Source organism: Homo sapiens, chromosome 9, assembly GCF_000001405.40.
Source record: "Homo sapiens chromosome 9, GRCh38.p14 Primary Assembly".
In the NCBI taxonomy this organism is placed as follows: domain Eukaryota; kingdom Metazoa; phylum Chordata; class Mammalia; order Primates; family Hominidae; genus Homo; species Homo sapiens.
The window spans coordinates 42,828,571-42,847,700 of record NC_000009.12 but is presented as its reverse complement, the minus strand read 5'-3'; the positions used below and the strand labels follow the sequence as shown (position 1 = coordinate 42,847,700).

The window sequence follows — 19,130 nt, the reverse complement described above, 5'->3', positions numbered from 1 at the left end:
GAACGTGTTCCCTTGCCTTTCCCAGTTCCGAAAGCCACCCCTATTCTTTGGCTCATGGCCCCTAACTGCATCTCCAAAGCCAGAAGCAAAGCATATTCAAATCTCCCTCTGTTACCTGTGCTTACATCATCAAATCTTCAATTCTGACTCTCTTACCTCCCTCTTTCACTTATAAAGACCTCTTGTGATTGCTGGACACAGAGGCCGGGGCTCACAACCATAATCCCAACAGTTTAGGAGGTCAAAGCAGGAGAAATGCTTGAGGCCAGAAGTTCAGGACCAGCCTGGGAAACACAGTGAGACCCCCCCCCTCAATTAAACAACAAAAAGAAATAAGAGAAAATTAGCTGGGCATGGTGGTATGCATCTGTAGTTTCAGCTACTTGAGAGGCTATGGTGAAAGGATTCCTTTAGCCCCAGAGTTCAAGACCAGCCTCGGCAATATAACAAGATCCCATCTCTACAAAAAAAATACAAAAATCAGCTGGGCATGGATGGTGTGCACCTGTAGTCCCAGATGCTTGGAAGGCTGAGGCGGGAGAATTGCTTGAGCCCAGGTGGTTGAGGCTGCAGTTAGCTACGACTGCATCATTGCACTCCAGATTGGGTGAAACAGAGACTCTGTGTTCAAAAGAAAAAGAAAAGAAATACACATTTGGTTTCTGCCCCTCGTCCTGGCACAGAGCTTCTCAAGTTCTTATAAAGGCCTTGGTGATAAATGTGATAGGAGCATCTTTTGTTTGAATATTTGGTCGTAGTCCCAGGTTTCTAACACAAGAGCCTCTAAGACCTTTGGGATCACCATAGTAAGAATGCATTTGGTGATGTTACTGAGATGACTGGGTGACTGAAAGCTCCTAGACAGCTTCAGAAAAAGGGCTGGTTGCCAGAAGGACAAACCATGTGATTAGAGGCTTGGAACTGTCAGCCTCACCCACTGGGCTCCAGGAAGAAATAGTGGCCGAAGACTGACTTAATCACCAATGGTCAATGATTTCATCTATCATGCCTGCTTAAAGAAGCCTTCATAAACGACCTCAACAACCAGATTTGGAGAATGCCTGGGTTGCTGAACACAAGGGAGATAGCAGGAAGGTAACATGCGCAATAGAGAGCATGGAAGTTCTGTACCCCTCCCGACACAGCTTGCCCTGTGTTTTTTTTTTTTTTTTTTTGAGACAGGGTCTGGCTCTGTCCCCCAGCCTAGAGTGCCGTGGCACAATCGTGGCTCACTGCAACCTATGCCTCCCTAGCTCAAGCCCCATCTCTCATCCTCTCACCTCAGCCTCCTAACTAGAATTATAGGCACTGAGTAGCTAGAACTATAGATCACTGCACCTGGCTAATTTTTAGAAAATCCTTTTTGTAGAGATGCGTTTTCACCGTGTTACCCACGCTGGTCTTAATCTCCTGAGCACTTAAGCGATGCTCCCACCTCAGTCTCCCAAAGAGCTGAAATTACAGGCATGAGCCACTGTGCCCAGCATGTACATCTCTTTCACCGGCTGTTTCTGAGATACAGCCTTTAAAATGAACCAGTAAAAGAAAGTAAATTGGTGAGATGCAGTGGCTCACACCCATAATCCCAGCATTTTGTGAAGTTGAGGTGGGAGGATCATGTGAGCCCAGAAATTTGAGACCAGCCTGGGCAACATAACAAGACCCCTTCTCTACAAAAAATAAAAAAACTTAGCCAGATATGCTGGTGCGGGCCTGTAGTCTCAGCTATTTGGGAGGCTGAGGTGGGAGGATCACTTGAGCCCAGGAGTCCCATGCTACAGTGAGCTTTGATCACACCACTGCATTCCAGCCTGGCAACAGACTGAGACCCTGTATCTCAGAAAAAAAAGAAAACAATCTGTTTTTCTGAGTTCTGCAAGCTGTCCGAGCAAATGATTCCACCCAGCAACGGGGTCATGAAACCCTGTTTTCTAACTGGTCGGTCAAAACTACATGCAACAACCCAAGACTTGCAATTGGCATGTGGAGTGAGGGTAGACTCCTGGGACTGAGCCCCCATCCTGCGGGGTCTGCACTAACTCCAGGGAGTGTCAGGATGGAATTGTGGGATACCCAGTTGGGATCCAGATTGTCTGAAAATCAGTGTAGAAACTCCACATGCACATTTGGTTAGAGGTGTTTAACCATAACTACTATTCACGAAAAAGGTCTACTCATTAGAACTGAAAATCATAAAATTGTAAGTTCTACAAAAATAAATCAACCTTATCTATTGCCCAGTCCTACCAAACTACAGAATGTGAGAACAGAAGGTCTGACCGTGGACTCAAGAGCTGACATTAGGAATGTCACCACCATCCTGCTCTCCAATGTCTCCTCATCTTCAGCAGACTCCTCATCTTCAATGGGCAGAGTGGAAACTGCAACTTGTGCCATGATCCTTGCACAAGAAAAGTAGTAAGAAAGTGAGTGGTAGAAATCCAGTGTCCTAAACTCACATCCAGAGCTGTGCGAGTTTTTCACCGGCTGGGTAATTCACAGTTTTCTTGAATCAGGGGAAAAATAAGACTCAGAAACTAGGAATTCGTTTTACCCAAAACTCTCATCAGATAGAGAATCCATCCACTAACTTTCTATCTAGTATTATTTCCATAAGTTAGATCAGTATCACTCCCAAAACAAATGCACATGGCACCCAGAATCTGTGCATTTCTCCCAAGTAAAAGAGGAGGTGGATGGGCTCAGTGTCTCATGCCTGTAACCCCAGCACTTTCGGAGGCCAAGGTGGGCAGATCACTTGAGGTCAGGAGTTCAACACCAGCCTGGTCAACATGGTGATACCGTCTCTACTAAAAATAAAAAAAATTAGCCAGGTGTGGAGGCACGTGCCTATAGTCCAGCTTCTTGGGAGGCTGAGACAGGAGAATTGCTTGAACCCAGGAGGCTGAGGTTGCAGTGAGCAGAGATCTCAGCACTGCATCTGAGCCTCGGTGACAGAGTGAGACTCTGTCTCAAAAAAAAAGGGGGGGGGAAGGAGGCAATGCACTTTACAACCCAGTGATGGGCTACCACAACTCAACACAGCAAAGAGGTGCCAAGCTCCCTTTCTCCCCTGCACAACCCGACACAGAAGAGTTGGTGCAGTGGAATGAGGTTGGATGGAGAGAAGTTCCTCTTCTTTCCTTTTTTTTTTTTTGAGATGGAGTCTCACTCTATCACACAGGCTGGGTGCAGTGGTGCAATCTCGGTCACTGCAATCTCCGCCTCCCAGGTTCAACCAATTCGCTGCCTCAGCCTTCCGAGTAGCTGGGATTAGAGGTGCCCGCCACCACACCCAGCCAATTTTTGTTTGTATGTTTGTTTAGTAGAGACTGGGTTTCACTATGTTGGCCAGGCTGGTCTTGAACTCCTGACCTTGTGATCCATCTGCCTTGGCCTCCCAAAGTGCTGGGATTACAGGCATGAGCTGCTGCGCCCAGCCGAGAAGTTCCTCTTCTTACTGAGAAAATAGATCACAGGGCATCAAGTAACACATAAAATTCTTTATAATACGCAGTATTATTTTTGGAAAACCTTTCCTAATATTTTGGTATCAGCAAAAACCCTCAGATTAATTTCAAACACTATAAAAATACAGTACATAAACAGAAAACATTAACTGTCAGCAATGCTATAGAGAAATTGGAAGCTGTATGCATTGCCTTTTGGAACGTAAAATGGTACAGCCCACTGTGGAAAATGGTTTAGCAGCTCCTTAAAAATATTAAGCACAGAATTATATGATCCACCAACACCCTTTAAGTGTATATACCCAAAATAACTGAGAGCAGGGACTCAAACAGGTATTTGCACACCCGTTTAACAGCAGCATTATTCACAGTGGCCAAAAGGTAGAACCAACAATGGATAAAGAAAATGTAATATATACATACACAGAGTATTATTCAGCCATACAAAGAAAAATATCTGGCCAGATTCAGGGGCTTACACCTGTAATCCCAGTATTTTGGGAGGCCAAGGTGGGCAGGTCTCTTGAGCCCCGAATTTTGAGACCAGGCTGGACAACATGGCACATTTGGTCAGAAGTGTTTGACCATAACTACTATTCAAGAAAAAGATCTACTCATTAGAACTATAAATCATAAAATTATAAATTCTACAAAAACAAATCAACCTTATCTACCACCCAGTACTACCCAATTACAGAATGTTAGAACAGAAGGTCTCACCATGGACTCAAGAGCTGATATGAGCAATGTCACCACCATCCTGCTCTCTGCGGACTCATCTTCAACAGACTCATCTTCAACGGACTCCTCATCTTCCATGGACTCCTCATCTTCAATGGGCAGGGTGGAAACTGCAGCTTGTGCCATGATCCCTGTGCAAGAAAAGTAGTAAGAAATTGAATGGTAGAAATCCAGTATCCTAAACTCACATCCAGAGCTGTGAGAGTTTTTCACCGGCTGGCAAATTGTTTTTTGCATCAGAGAAAAAAACAAAACTTGGTAACTTGGTATTCGATTTGCCCAAAACTCTCATCAGATAGAGAATTCATCCACTAACTTTCTATCTAGTATTATTTCCATGAAGTTAGATGAATATCACTCCCAAAATAAATCCACGTGGCAACCAGAATCAGTGCATTTCTCCCAAGAGGAGGTGGCCAAGCGACCACATCTGTAATCCCAGCATGTTGGGAGGCCGAGGTGGGTGGATCAGGAGGTCAAAAGATTGAGACCATCCTGGCCAACATGGTGAAACCCTGGTCTCTACCAAAAATACAAAAAATAGCTGGATGTGGTGGTGTGTGCCTATAATCCCAGCTACTTAGGAGGCTGAGGCAGGAGAATCACTTGAACCAGGGAGTCAGAGGTTGCAGTGAGCCGAGATCATGTCACTGCACTCTAGCCTGGTGACAGAGCAAGACTCCGTCTAAAAGAAAAAAACAGTAAAATACAAAATGTCTTTTTCTCCTAACCTTCTTAGCCTTCTGCTGGTACTTCAATTTCTGCTGGTACTGTTTGGTCATTGCCCTCTAAAGAATGATAGCTTCCTAAAAAAAAACAAACAACATATAAACCAATAAAAACTCACATTGAAAGATAAAAAATAATCTAGGTGACGATGCAAGCACTTTTAAGACATAATAGGCCAGGTGCAGTGGCTCACACCTGTAAACCCAGCAGTTTGGGAGGCTGAGGAGGGTGGATCACCTGAGTTCAGGAGTTCGAGACCAGCCTGGGCCAACATTGTGAAACCTCATATCTACTAAAATACAAGAAATCAGCCAGGCGTGGTGGCGGGTGCCTGTAAGCCCACCTACTCGGGAGGCTGAGGCAGGAGAATCACTTGAACCCAGGAGATGGAGGTTGCAGTGAGCTGAGATTACACCGCTGCACTCCAGCCTGGGTGACGAGAGTGAAACTCCATCTCATGAAAAAAAGAAAGACATAATAAACATAAAATATGATTCTATTAACTCTATTAATCCAAATAATGTTTTCTAATTCAGAAGAAATATATAACATGTCTATTTGGTAGCTTAAAAACATTCTTTTAAAATACAAATACAGTAGACCCAAGTAGGCTTGGGGACTTAATATTAGTTACTCTAGCTACATGATAAAATTACTGGATATATCGGAATCTTAAGCAGCACAATTATGCTTCAAGTACCATGCTCATCTGTCACTGACACACACACAAGTGTGAATGCTTGCTTTGCTCAATTAACTCTGTAAATAAGCTCAGGATTTGCTGTGGAATGTTCCCTGCTTTCCATTTTCACTATGGTGAAAGTTATGGAAACTCAATCCCCATAATTTAAGCAAAGTTGTACTTAAAGTAACTCATATGTAAAAATTTAAGATACTGCCTTTAGTGTCAAAAACATTTTAATCCAGGTAATGTAATCTGCCTGCTTCTAAAAACTGGCATATAAAGCAACAGATCTGTTAGGCAGTCACAAGGTAAACAGGCTCATCCTACTGGAGCAGAAGTTTTACTCACAAATATGAAAGAAATAATCTAAAATATCAGAGTGCCACTTAGGATTAAGACCACAAACTGCCCCCAGTACACATCCTCTGTCCTTAAAGATCTGAGCTACTAACATGGAAAAGATTGAAAAACACTGTCTTCAAGTATAAATAAAAATATATTACATTTCGGTAAGAATACATTGTTTAGGGGGAAGGGAAGCAGATGCTCATCTATTTTGTCCTATCTATTGATAACTCAATTCAGAAGCTGTACCAAAAGTCAAACAAAAGTTATAAATACATCTCTTAATTTTTAAAGAGCAATGATTACAGTCAGAAAAACTCATTTGGTGGCTAGTATTCTTGAATTAAAAGTGCCATACCAAAGTGAAATCTTTTTGGTTTTCAACATCTAGTTTTTTCATGTCACAATTATTTTGGGATTCTTTTCCACTTACTGCATATTGTGAAAACTCACCTGAACTCAAAACTCTAGGTAAATCTATAAACCTGTATCTCAGAATCCATCTTTAATTCATTTGTAAAATACACTTTCTCTGCACACATTTCCTCTCTCTTCTTTTAACCGTAATATTTGGATTTAGGGAGCATCAAGTTCCTTGACTGTAAAGTCAATGAAAAAAGAGATATGAGGTCAAAAGAATGGGAGATAATGAACAAGAGGCCAGTAGTTAAAAAGTAAAATTTCAATAAAGAATAACAGTTAAGATGGTCATTCATGTTATTACCCAAACACCAGGGGTTTTGTCCAGGTCCTCCTGCTCATCGGAGAAAAAGCCAGTCACTGAGGTGACAAGTACTGCCAAGGAAGAAAGCTTTAACCTGGTGCTGCAGCCCAGGAGCTGGGAGCTCAGTCTTAAATCCATGGGCTTGACTAATAGGGGCAGGAAAGAAATTTAACAATGTATAAGAGAACAGAAATTAGGGAGGGGCAGGAGGCATGTGGTGCTGTGATCTGGTATGTTTCAGTTATCTGATACTTCCTGAAGGTCTTTTTTTTGAGGAGAGAACTCAGATACAACAGATCCAAGTTTCAAGCTTTAACAGCAGGGTCAATTTTGACATTGATCCAAAAAAAAACCCATCCATTGGGACAATAGGGCCGGTGTCAATGTAAGCAATGATTCTGTAGTTCCTCTTTGTTCTTTCAAAATCTGAAATAAACAATTGAATTTATATTATATGCTAAATCTAAAGAAAATACATCTTGTGTACTTGAGGCCACAAGAGATAGAAGTAAAACCTATTACTAATAGCCTATGAGAGAGTCAAGTTTGGGAACATTATAAAAAATTCAAAAAAAGTAATAAATGCATAAAACTTACAGAGTAACAAGTGCTATTTCAGAATTCTTCTAAATACTAAGTATTGACATGACCTTATCAATATTTGCATTACTAACCATACAATAAGAACCTGACTTCTGACTATTCTGAGATAAGGGATAAATGTGTACTTTACCTTAAATGGGAAAGTGCATCATGTACCCACTTCGAGATTCACAACAGGGAAAACTGATTTGAAAAATTGTTGCTTGTGAAGTTCATTTATATGTTAAAAAAAGGCCAATACATTTTCCCTTTTCCACATAGAAAAGGAACACTATACTTATAAATACTAAAACACAGTCTGTGGAATACAAGGAACCAATAGAAACAGTATGTAGGAAAATGGAAGTGAAAAGATTATACATTGCAAAGACTTCAGTAGAAGGAGTTTTTCATCAACATCATCAGTTTCAGAAGGGCCTTCTTTGGGATACAAAGACAATACTTCAACAGTAACTCCCCCAAGCCAGACGCAGTGACTTATGCCTGTAATCCCAGCAATTTGGGAGGCCAAGGCAGGCAGATCTCTTGAGGTCTGAAGTTCGAGACAAACCTGGCCAACAGGGTGATACACCATCTCTACCAAAAAATACAAAAATTAACCAGGTGTAGTGGCATGCACCTATACAGTCCCAGCTACATGGGAGGCTGAGGCAAATGTACTCATTTTTTCATTCCTGCACCCAAGAAACTGCAACCAATCTACTCTGTTAAGAGCAGAGACAAAGGGTTTCGACTCCATATTACATGTGAAATAGAAGAAATGAATCAGTTTAGTATGAACTTGTATGCACTTTTGGAGAAGAAAGTAGGTCAAGAAGCCATTAAGATACATGAAGGAAGGTCAAATCTTAAAGAAAACTAGAAATTCAGATTTATTTATGTAGCTCTAGAAGGAAGAACCAGGAATAGTGGAGAATGAATGTAGAAAACATTTTTAGTGAATGAAAGCATGAGATGATAACACAAGCAGCCACCAATGGAACAAACTGATGTGCAACAGCGGATTTGCCATCACTGAAGCTATCGAGTCTCCAACTGTTGCAGGTATTACAGAGCTATCAAGAGTTTTAGTAGGCGGCTGGGGTTCCTTTCAGATCTGACATGGCATGATGCCAAAATGCTGTACATGCTCTCATCTTTTTCTGGCTCATTTTTTTTTCTCTCTTCAGGTTTCTTAATCTTTTATCTACTTCCCTCTATTAATAATCACCTGAACCATACACTCAGTCTTCTGAAGTAAATTTCTTTATCTTTCACTTCACAAATAAACATCTTTGATGGATGAAAACACCGCAGGAAAGCCACCTAAGCAGATATGACTTCTCAACTTTTTTTTTTAAGTGATTTCCATTCATCACTAATTCCAAACAAAACAATTACAAACTATCATAAAATTATTAGAAAGTGAAAATGGGAAGCATTGGTTAAATATGTGTTTAGTATGCTTCACCATGTCCTCAAACATATTTAAAAAGTTAATCCACACTTCTTTAAGTGCATTGGGGGACTTGCTTTAGATTAAGAAATATGTTAACTATTTCAGGACACTAAGGACCTTACATATCTGAATTAGCTCAGATTGGCTGCTATCTCCTCAATTATTTTCTGATAAATAAGAAACAAACAGTAAATAGCAACTTCCAGAAAATCTACCAGTAGTACACAAGGGCAGCCAAACTTCAAAATTCTTGCCACTCAAACTCTAGACGGTTACTATTTACTAAAATGTAAATAATAAAAAGACTTTTCTCAATCTTGTCCTCCAGAAAGAAAAGCCGTAAAGTTCAAACACTAACCAAAAAAAGGGTAAGGAGAAACGTTTATATATTGGCGTTCCTTTTATTAGTGTCTTCACATACAACACTCCTCAATTTTAAACACCGCTTTCTTTCAGAAGACAAAACCAAGACAAAATGGTAGAAATCAAAGGGTTACAGACTTTGATTTAAAAGGCATAACCTTTTCAAAAATGAGAGCTATCGATGGATCACTTCTGAGAAGAAATTCCCTGGCACTAGGATAGAGGTTGGAAAACCATCTTTCCAGGTGCTCTAAAATAGAATCCTCTCATAGTGCAAGAGTCCTTCTAATTCTAGGGGTCTAGGACTATTTTTATTATTATTGTTACCTTTCCCGTTCTGGAAAATCCTCAAGACTCTGTCTTGTAAATGTCACCAACCCAGTAGGTTCTACAGAAGCAATAAAAGAAAAACATACCCAAAATAAGTTTCAATTTTGAAAACATTACACACACACACGTGAATGTGCGCGCACACACACTCGATAAAAGAATAGGTCTAACATTGAATATAAAACCAACCAGGAAATACAAAGCCTAGCATTGGAAAATAACAGAATATTGATTGAAAATATTATCCTTACAGTAGAAACTCCTATAAAACAGTAAGACTTCACTAAACGAAACTATACAAATAACAGCACAACAGTAGGATTTGAGTGCTGGTACTTTTTGGTAAAGTTTTGAAGCTGAATACACTTCAAAAAAAAACCATTGGAAAAAAGGATGTATAACTGGTACAGCTTATGCAGTAAAGACAAAACTGAATTCAAATTTGTAGACTCCTTTACAAAGAAAGGACTTAACCCTACATTCAAAGACTGGTGAATAAAGACACATCTATGTACTTTATAGTAAAGTGAAATGCCACAGCTTTAAAAAGAAAATCATTTGCACATCCTCTGAAGTTAGTAAAGCTAAGTTTCAGGCTTAGATAGTGGGCAATCACTCTACTTGTTAGTAGCAGTCTTAGCCAGAGAAGAAATTACTGGTTCTAAGAGTTTACAGAATAAAGATGACATATTTTTCAAGAAGCAATAAATTTGGGAGGATCAAAATAGAGTAGTATTAATGTAGTCAATAATTTTAAGAGGATGAGATCCTTTTCTAGTCAGATTTATTTATTTTTTAAAGCTAGTAGCAAAAGAAACAAATATATCAACTGGCCAGAAGTAATTTGTCTGATTCAAATCAAAGAGCAAACTAAAAAGGCCATGCCATTTCTGTTTTCTTGAATAGAAAAAAGCTCTTAAGGAAAGAGAGAGATGTCAGGAACTATTACTGATGACAGTGTATAACCCAGTGAAAGCCTGGCCATCATTTCATTCCTGTGCACAATTCCACATTTCCTTGTTCTCAGTCAAAAGCAGGAACCACTCAAAAACCATATGGAGCAGTTGCAGAAGAAAACAAAATTTTTTGTTAACATGGGTCTTACATTCTTTAGATATCTAACTTTAACATAAACGGATAACGTATTTAAAACTCACAAGTAAGTGGTCAAACAACTCTAACACTAGAAACACAATTCCATGAATATAATAGAAAACATCTCTCTTGTCATTCGGTATTAGCAGAGAAGTAAGAACATCAAATGTCCTTTATATATACTAAGAGATGCTAAGAGAAATTCATAAACACTGCTGGCAAAGCAAGAAAAAGCAGAAGAACATGGTTTCTTAGATTAAGAAAAAATGCCTTGAGAGCACGTCTGTTAGCTTTCTTTTTCATAACAAGGCAACTTTCATCTCAGAATAGGATACTCTGATTAATCAAATACTTCCCATAATAAAATCACAATATATACTACATACAGGTCATAAATTTTCAAAAATCTGATCTATAAGATACTTTATCTAAAACTATATAAAAAGTAATTTAATTCGGAAGGCTTTTTAAAATATTTCAGTCTCAAGATCCTCATCAAATATAAAATACACGTTTAACAACACTGAAAAGTTGGTCCTGATGGAATTCTATTCTATCAATTCTAAAAGGCAGGTTTTTCCACATACTACATTTCTGAAACTGGAATACATCTTTTATAATGGAGGTATCTTACCATAGGTCTAGACTAGAGGAGAATTTTCCCAGAGAAGATGTGCATCTGCTTCTGCTGTCATCTGGGAACACTATCAGCCCAACACCATCTGAATTAATCCTTTGTGGACCACACTGGTGGTAAGGCTGCACACCCAAAGCTTAGGGCTTGTGGTTCAAATTCTCAGAGAAATGTTTTTTTCTTTCTCTATTTAGTGTCAAGGTTGAGACTTGCACGCTTCTTTATGGTCCCTTTTCTGGATGGTCAAGTTAATTTCTCATTTATCCCTAGGTGTACCAGCCTTGTGGGTTAGGTCTCCTACTAAACTCCCTGTCCTGAGTGTTTTTTCCTTCTTAGAGGTATATAATGTAATAGCACTTTTTAAAAATAATCTATGACATCTTAGATTAGATTTGATGAAATATGGTACCTTAAATAAGCTTCTCAAGTCTATTGAGTAGGCTCCAGAACTTCTACACAATGACTCATTACACTGCAACCTCTTTTATTCTCTTTAGGATTTCCTCTTTAAACCATTAGCTTTACATACTGCACACCAAGAGCAATGTTGTACTGTATTTCTACAAAGAACTTAATTAACATGTACAGTAAAAAAGTCAGAAAATAAAATGTCTAGTTATAATTTATTTCTTCAAATTCCAAATACTTATAATGGCATATACATTTCTAGTTGAAAAAACAAACTTTTAGCTTTTTCCTTAAAGTATCTGAAATCCTAAAATTTAGAAAGCCAGGTTAGTTTTTAGAGAAGACATACATGATTTGACTCCCAGGACAAAAAAGTAAACTCTGTACTACTTAGTTATAACAATTCTACTTAAAATGGCAACTCAAAGTACTGTAAAAACAAAACAAAAAAGACCAACAGTAATAATTCTACTTAGACCTAGAATAGCCAAAAAAAGTAGTCATTTTTTTTTTTTAGACATAATCTTGCTCTTTGTCACCCAGGCTAGAGTGTAGTGGCACAATCTCAGCTCACTGCAACCTCCACTTCCCAGGTTCAAATGATTCTTGTGCCTCAACCTCCCGAGTAGCTGGGATTACAGGCTCCTGCCACCGCGCCTGGCTAATTTTTGTATTTTTTTAGTAGAGACGGGGTTTCACCATCTTGACTAAGCTGGTCTGGAACTCCTGACCTCGTGATCCACCACGCCTGGCCTTACGTAGTCATCTTTTTAACAAGTCATTACAAATTCTAATTTAATTTTGTGTCTCATAGGTCCAAATGATTCTGCATTTTAATATTTCATTCAGTACAGGGCACAAAACTGAAATTCAATAAGCTATGAGATAAATAATTCCATATCAGAGAAGCATATAATTTTCCCTTAAATATCAAAATCCTGATAATTGATTTCATTCTAAAAATTTAACAGTGTCCAATAGCAATACATTCAAGGGGGAAGATGCCAAGTACACTGTAATGCAAGAGTAAAAGTAGGATATGAGAAAAATGACCTTAAAATTATTCAAAGACATGTTTTAAGACAATCCTACAACCCAGAACTGAAAAAAAGCCATTTCACTTGAGCAGGTTGACATTACCTACTTAGTACAAAGAAACTTTTAAGGTGTTCTGGTTTACATCCACTTGTAGGAAAGGCTACCCATTGATAATAGCTTACATTTATTAAGCATGTATCTCCTTGTTTAATATCTATAACTACCCTGTAAGGTAATAACCATTATTATATTATTTCATAGGTGATAAAACTGAAGCTTAGAGGTGTCAAGAAACTTGACCACGGTCATTCAGCTTCTGAGATAAGAGTGGCAATACCACTCTATTATCAGCTGGTCATTACCAGTATTTGTTGGACATTTACTATTACTGCCTCAGCTGCTATCAGGTTTTGGGGAAGCAAGAATGTTAAGGTTTAATAGAGGAAGATGGATATAAAACTCAGTACAAAACAGTTTTATGAGAACTCCACAAAGGGCTTAGGGGGGCACAAAAGAGAGGAATGGGTAGAAAAGCAATGCGTTAGTTGACTTATACAAATAAACTAGTGAATGCCTCTTTAAATAAAGAGCATCCAAAATTTATTTCCTGGTCAATATACTTTCTCTGGTTTTTATTCATGAAAATGTTTTGAGGTATATTACAGATTTCAGAGAATATGTGTCCGATTTCAGAGTATGTAAACCCCGCCCCCCTACATTTATAGCACACATTTATGCTTATACACAAGCATAAAACCGAAGTTATCTTGTCGCATCATTACTGTTTCAATGTGGTTGGGACAGGAAGGTTTACGTTAAACACAAAATGTTCCTCACATGTCACTTGACTTGAACTGTTCCCATCAGCAAGAAAAATTACTGCAAGAATGAAAGGAGTTCACTTTTCTCTGTGACTGTTCCAAAGAAGTGGAAGAGCGTTTTAAGTTTATCCGGTTTCCTTGATGAATGTCCCTCAAACAACCTAAAGGACTTAAAAAATAAGAGAATGGAAGATAAGTTAAAATGCCTTAATGATTCAGAAAACTACATCCATATTGCTACCAAGTAACAAAAAGAAATAATTGTTCCAGAAGACAATTCTGTAATGATAAGAACTAGAAAATTGGTTTAGATTCAAATGGCATCTGGAGAGAACTGAAATCAACTAGAACCAGCCTTCTTTAAAGCTGTTCAAATCAGACAGCATTTGCTACCAACCACATTTCTCCAACCTATCTTCCACCACAGAGAAGGCACCATCTAGCCCTCCCAGTCAATTGGGGTCAGTCAGTGCACAGCTACTTTCTCAATGGCTAATAACATTTATAATTCATAATGTTACTACGTAGTTGGATAAGTAACAAAAACAGTATCTGAAAAAAATCCTTATCTGAGTGTTTGTGAGGAAATGAGAGTGGAGGGGAATGGGGGAAGGACACAGGCAGGTGTAACAAGATATCAGGGCTCAACAATCCTTGTTAATTAAACAACTAGTTTCTTTTATGGACTGAATGTTTGTGCCTCTCAAAATTTATATGTTGAATCTTTAATCCCTAATATAGCTAAATTTGGAGACAGGGCCTGTGAGGAGGTACTAACAGTTAAATGAGGTCATGGGGTGTGACTCTCATCTGATAGAACTGGTGTCGTTATAAGACAAGGTGAGACTACAGTACTCTCCCCTTTGGCATGTGAGGACAAGATGCCAGCCAACCTATAAGCCAGGAAGAAAGCCCTCATCAGGAACCGAAGCAGCAGCACCCTGATCTACAGCTTCTAGCCTCCAGAACTGTGAGAAAATTAAGCCACCCAGTTCTATGGTATTTTATTATGGCAGCCCAAGCTGACTAATAGAGATCCTTTGCACGGTAACCAAAACAATGCCTACCCTGTGTCATCTAGTTTTCAGCAACCCGGACTTGGATTACTTAATTCAGTTTCCTTTGAAATGATGTGGCATTGTTATTGGTAACATGTAATTCAGTTTATTCTGAGGAAAGAAAAGCAGGGCTTTAAAAGCATTATGACCTGAGTAAGTAGTTCACTAAAAGATTTGTAACACAAAAGCATGCTTTTGAGCATGAGATCTAGCTTTCCAAAGGCATTTAGAAATTATAGAGACTCAGTGGCTATGAATGATGAGGTACTCTTCATCTGCCTCTAGCCATGTGCTCTGACTTTAAAACCAGAGACCCTTCAAGTAAAGTCCACGTTAGTAAGTGCTGAAATGGGTAATTATTTTTCATGATTACAACAGCAAGCTTATGTAACTATGCTGAGAGGGAAAAGTTAATTCCATGAGAAAATCCTATTGAGCGACTGAAATAAATTAGGAAAAGGAAAGGAAATGCAGATTTCAAATGGTTCCGTTTTCAACGATCTGAAATCTGTATTCAAGGCCAATTTCTGGAAAAACAATTTATGTGAATATTTATTTCCTAGAAAGAATACTAATGTAGGCTAGTATTTTAACCAAATCTAAAATCAGATCTCTTTTTTAAAAGTTTAAGACAGCCTGTGTGATAATTTTTATTTAAAAGAATCTGTCTTCTAAAATATTTAATACACATACTCATAATCCAGTTGCTAGCTGAAACAGGGTACAGGTTAAATAAGATAGTATTTCTAAATGGATTCTGAATGGATTAAAACTCAATAAAATGGACATTTTATTGAGTGAATGGAGAGATCTAATCCATCTGGCAAGTCAGTTAAGAGAGCTTCTGCTGCCATTTTTATTGACATGTAATAGTGTAATAAACTCACATGTAATACTGTAAAGCTCTGTAAAAAAATTTTAACCTAGCCTATTTGTTTAAAGGAGATGTTAACAATTCATGCTCCCTTCAACCACTTCATTTTTGCTTTTAGGACAGGACTGTTCATTAACACACACAATCAATTACTAAACACAATTACTGAAATAAATATTATCAAGCAGTAACCAAAAAATTCAACGTAAGGCTATCATACCCAAACTCCAATATCCAGAAGCCAATTTAAGTAACCCATGCCTCCTTGGCAAAAGTGTATGGATAATACCTTTTCCTTGTGATAGTAAAACCTATCCATTTTCTTACATCACCCAAGTATCAGCTTTTACGCTTCTACAAATAAAGCAGACAATGAACATACTGTGTAGAAATCCTGAGCTCTTAATTAAAAGGTACTCACAGAGTTGTATCTAAATCATTGGCTACAATGATCTAAAACACACACAGAGTTATATCTAGGTCATTTGCTACAATGATCTAAACCACTTCATTTACATCTTAGTATTAATCACAGGACAAAAACGCTAATATTTTCAGAACTACAATCAGTGTTGCTATCTGGCACAGGCAACGTGTCTTCAAAACCCCATGACACTATGTGTTTGCCCCCAAGTAAACAGGAGGGAGATCCAGGCGCCCCTTCCAAAAGCAACAGCTTAGAGGAGAGAAGGAAAATCAAAGATACTGAGATGATTCATTTTAGCAAAAAGCGAACCTGCCACCCCAAAGAGCAGAAAACAAAATCTGAAAACTAAGATGTATATTATTATATGTTATTCACAGAACTTATTTACAATATTTTTAAAGAAAAAATTACAAAACCGTGTTTCTGAAAATGTTACAATAAAATTATATGTGTGTAAAGTCTATCTATTTTACGTGTACATTTGTGTGTGTGTAAGAGAGAGGGGATTATGAATTAGGAAGCGTATGTACCAAAACATTAGAAGCAGTTATCCTCGGGTAATGAGATTATGATTTTCACTTTCCTCTTTATACCTTAATATATCATCTCCAAATTTACAATCAGAATTCACTATAAAACTATTGCATTTTTATTTATTTATTTATTTTGTGAGACATGGTCTCACTCTGTCACCCAGGCTGGAGAGTGCAGTGGCGCAATTTCAGCTCACTGCAACCTCGGCCTCCCAGGCTCAAGCAGTCCTCCCACCTCCCACCTGAGCCTCCTGAGTAGCTGAGACCCATCAAAGTTAAGTTTTCTTCGATTTAAAGTACTTGTTATAATTATGTTGTTTAGCCTCATGGTAACCAGAAAACAAAAATCAATAGACACTCTAAACATAAAAAGCAAGGAATTAAAACACTACCAGAAAAAATTACTTCACTACAAATAAAGACAGGAAGAAAGGCAAGGAGGAAAGAGAAGAAGTAAAAAGAGATCAGAAAGAAAAGAGGAAGGGAGAAAGAACAAAAGAAAAAGTAGCAAAACAATCAAAAAAGTAAAAAATGGCAGTAGTATGTTTTTATCTATAATAATCTTGAATGTAAATTAAATTAAGACAGAGTGACTGAATGGATTAAAAGACCCAATTATGTCCTGCCTACAAGGAACTCAGTTCACCTATAAAGACATACACAGACAAAGTCAAGGGATGATAAGAGATATCCCATACAAATGGAAACAAAAAAAGCAGGAGTAGCTATACTTAGATAAAATAGCCTTTAACTCAAAAAAAGAAAAAATAAAGATAATTATATAAATGAGAAACAAGTAAACAGCCGTTAAGTGCATATGCAACCAACACTCAAGCACCTAAATATAGATGCAAATATTAACAGGCTTTAAAGGACAGATGGACTGCAATACAATAATAGATTACCTCAACACTCCACCGTAATCAACACCCCACTATCGCGAACGGACAGATCATCCAGGCAACAAAACATCATCAGTTAAACTGTACTCTATACAGAATGGACCTAACAGACATTTACACAGCTTTTCACTGTGCAACTGCACAATGCTCATTCTACTGAGTGGCACATCGATTATTCTACAGGGCAGACTGTGTTAGGCCAAAAAACAAGTCACAACACTTTTTTTTTTTTTGAGGTGGAGTCTCTCTCTGTCTCCCAGGCTGGAGTGCAGTGGCACTATCTCGGCTCACTGCAAGCTCCGCCTCCTGGGTTAATGCCTTTCTCCTGCTTCAGCCTCCGGAGGAGCCCGCCACCACGCCTGGCTAATTTTTTGTATTTTTGGTAGAGACGGAGTTTTTCCGTGTTAGCCAGGATGGTCTCAATCTCCTGACCTCGTGATCCCGCCTCGGTCATCCAACACATTTTTAAAAACTGAATTCATATCAAGTATCTTTTGTGACCACAGTCGAATAGTATTAGAAATCAATAACAGATAGAACTTTAAAAACTGTACAAATACATGGAAATTAAAATACACACCCATGAGCAACCAATAAAAGAAATGAAGAAAACACAAGGGAAATTAAATATTTATTGAAACAAGTAAGAATAGAAACACAACATAACAAATCCTGTGGGATGCACCAAAGGCAATTCTAAGAGGAAAAGTGTATAGCTATAAATGCCTGCATCAGAAAAGTAGGAAGATCTCAAATAGCCTGACGGTACACCTCCAGTAATGAGAAAAACAGGAACAATCAAATGCTAGAATTCGCAGAAAAAATACCATAAAGATTAGAGAAGAAATTTTAAAAATAGAAACAAAAAATACAAAAAGTCAATGAAACAAAAGCTGGGGTGTTTTTAAAAAAAAATCAAAATTGACGAGTTTTAACTAGATGAAGTTAGATAAGAAAAAGAAAACAAAGTCATAAAGAAGGCATTACAACTGGTAACCCAGAAATACGAAGCATTAAGAGATTACTAAAAACATCACAAACAAATTGAAAAATCTGGAAGTGAATACATTTCTAGACACATAACGAATTCCCAAGATAGAATGATAAAAAATAAAAATAAAAAACCTGAACAGACCAATAATGAGTAATGCAATTAAAGCAGTCATAAAAAGTCTCCTGGCAAAGAAAAACACAAGAATCATGGTTTTCCTGCTGAATTACCAAACATTTTTAAAAGAGCTAATATGTATTTTACTCAAAATATTCCCCATAAAATGAAGACGAAGAAAGGCTTCGAAACTTGTTCTATGAGGACAGCATGACCCTGGTACAAAAACCAGACCAGAACACAACACAAAAAGGAAACCACAGGCAAATATCCCTGATGAACAGAGGTGTAAGAAATCCTCAGCAAAATACTTGAAAATTGCATTTGACAACGCAATAAAAAGATCATCTGCCATGATCAAGTGGATTTCATTCATCCCAGGAATATGAGGATGATTCAATAAACACAAATAAATAAATATGCAACATCACATTCAGCAAATCAAGAACAAAAACCATATAATCATTTCAGTAGACGCTGAAAAAATTAAAAGTCAACATTCCTTCATGATAAAAACTCAACAACATGAGTACAGAAGGAACATATCTCAGTGCAATAAAGGCCATATATGACAAACCCACAGCTAACATAATCAATAAGGAAAAGTTAAAAGCTCTTCTCCTCTAAGATCTGGAACAAGTGTGGCTACTTTTACACCACTTTTGTTCATCATAATACTGGAAGTCCTAGCTAGAGCAATTAGGAGAATGCAATAAAAGGCATCCAAATTGGAAAAAAGGAGTCAAATTGTCTGTTTCCAGGTGACATGAACATATATAGAGAGAACCCTAAAGATTCCACAAA

General features: G+C 38.0%; 1 long non-coding RNA gene across 2 annotated transcripts; it reads right to left on the bottom strand.

Annotated features, from left to right (window-relative positions):
- Positions 1-6,805: 6,805 nt before the first annotated feature.
- Positions 6,806-13,526, bottom strand: LOC102724818 (uncharacterized). 2 transcript variants are annotated; one of them, XR_428473.3, is made up of 3 exons: positions 13,441-13,526; positions 9,426-9,486; positions 6,806-7,120 (listed from the first exon to the last, which is right to left on the bottom strand). It is a non-coding gene; the product is annotated as an uncharacterized LOC102724818 (long non-coding RNA). The 2 variants fall into 2 exon arrangements; XR_929694.2 differs by lacking the exon at positions 13,441-13,526 and adding an exon at positions 11,567-11,616.
- Positions 13,527-19,130: the final 5,604 nt, after the last annotated feature.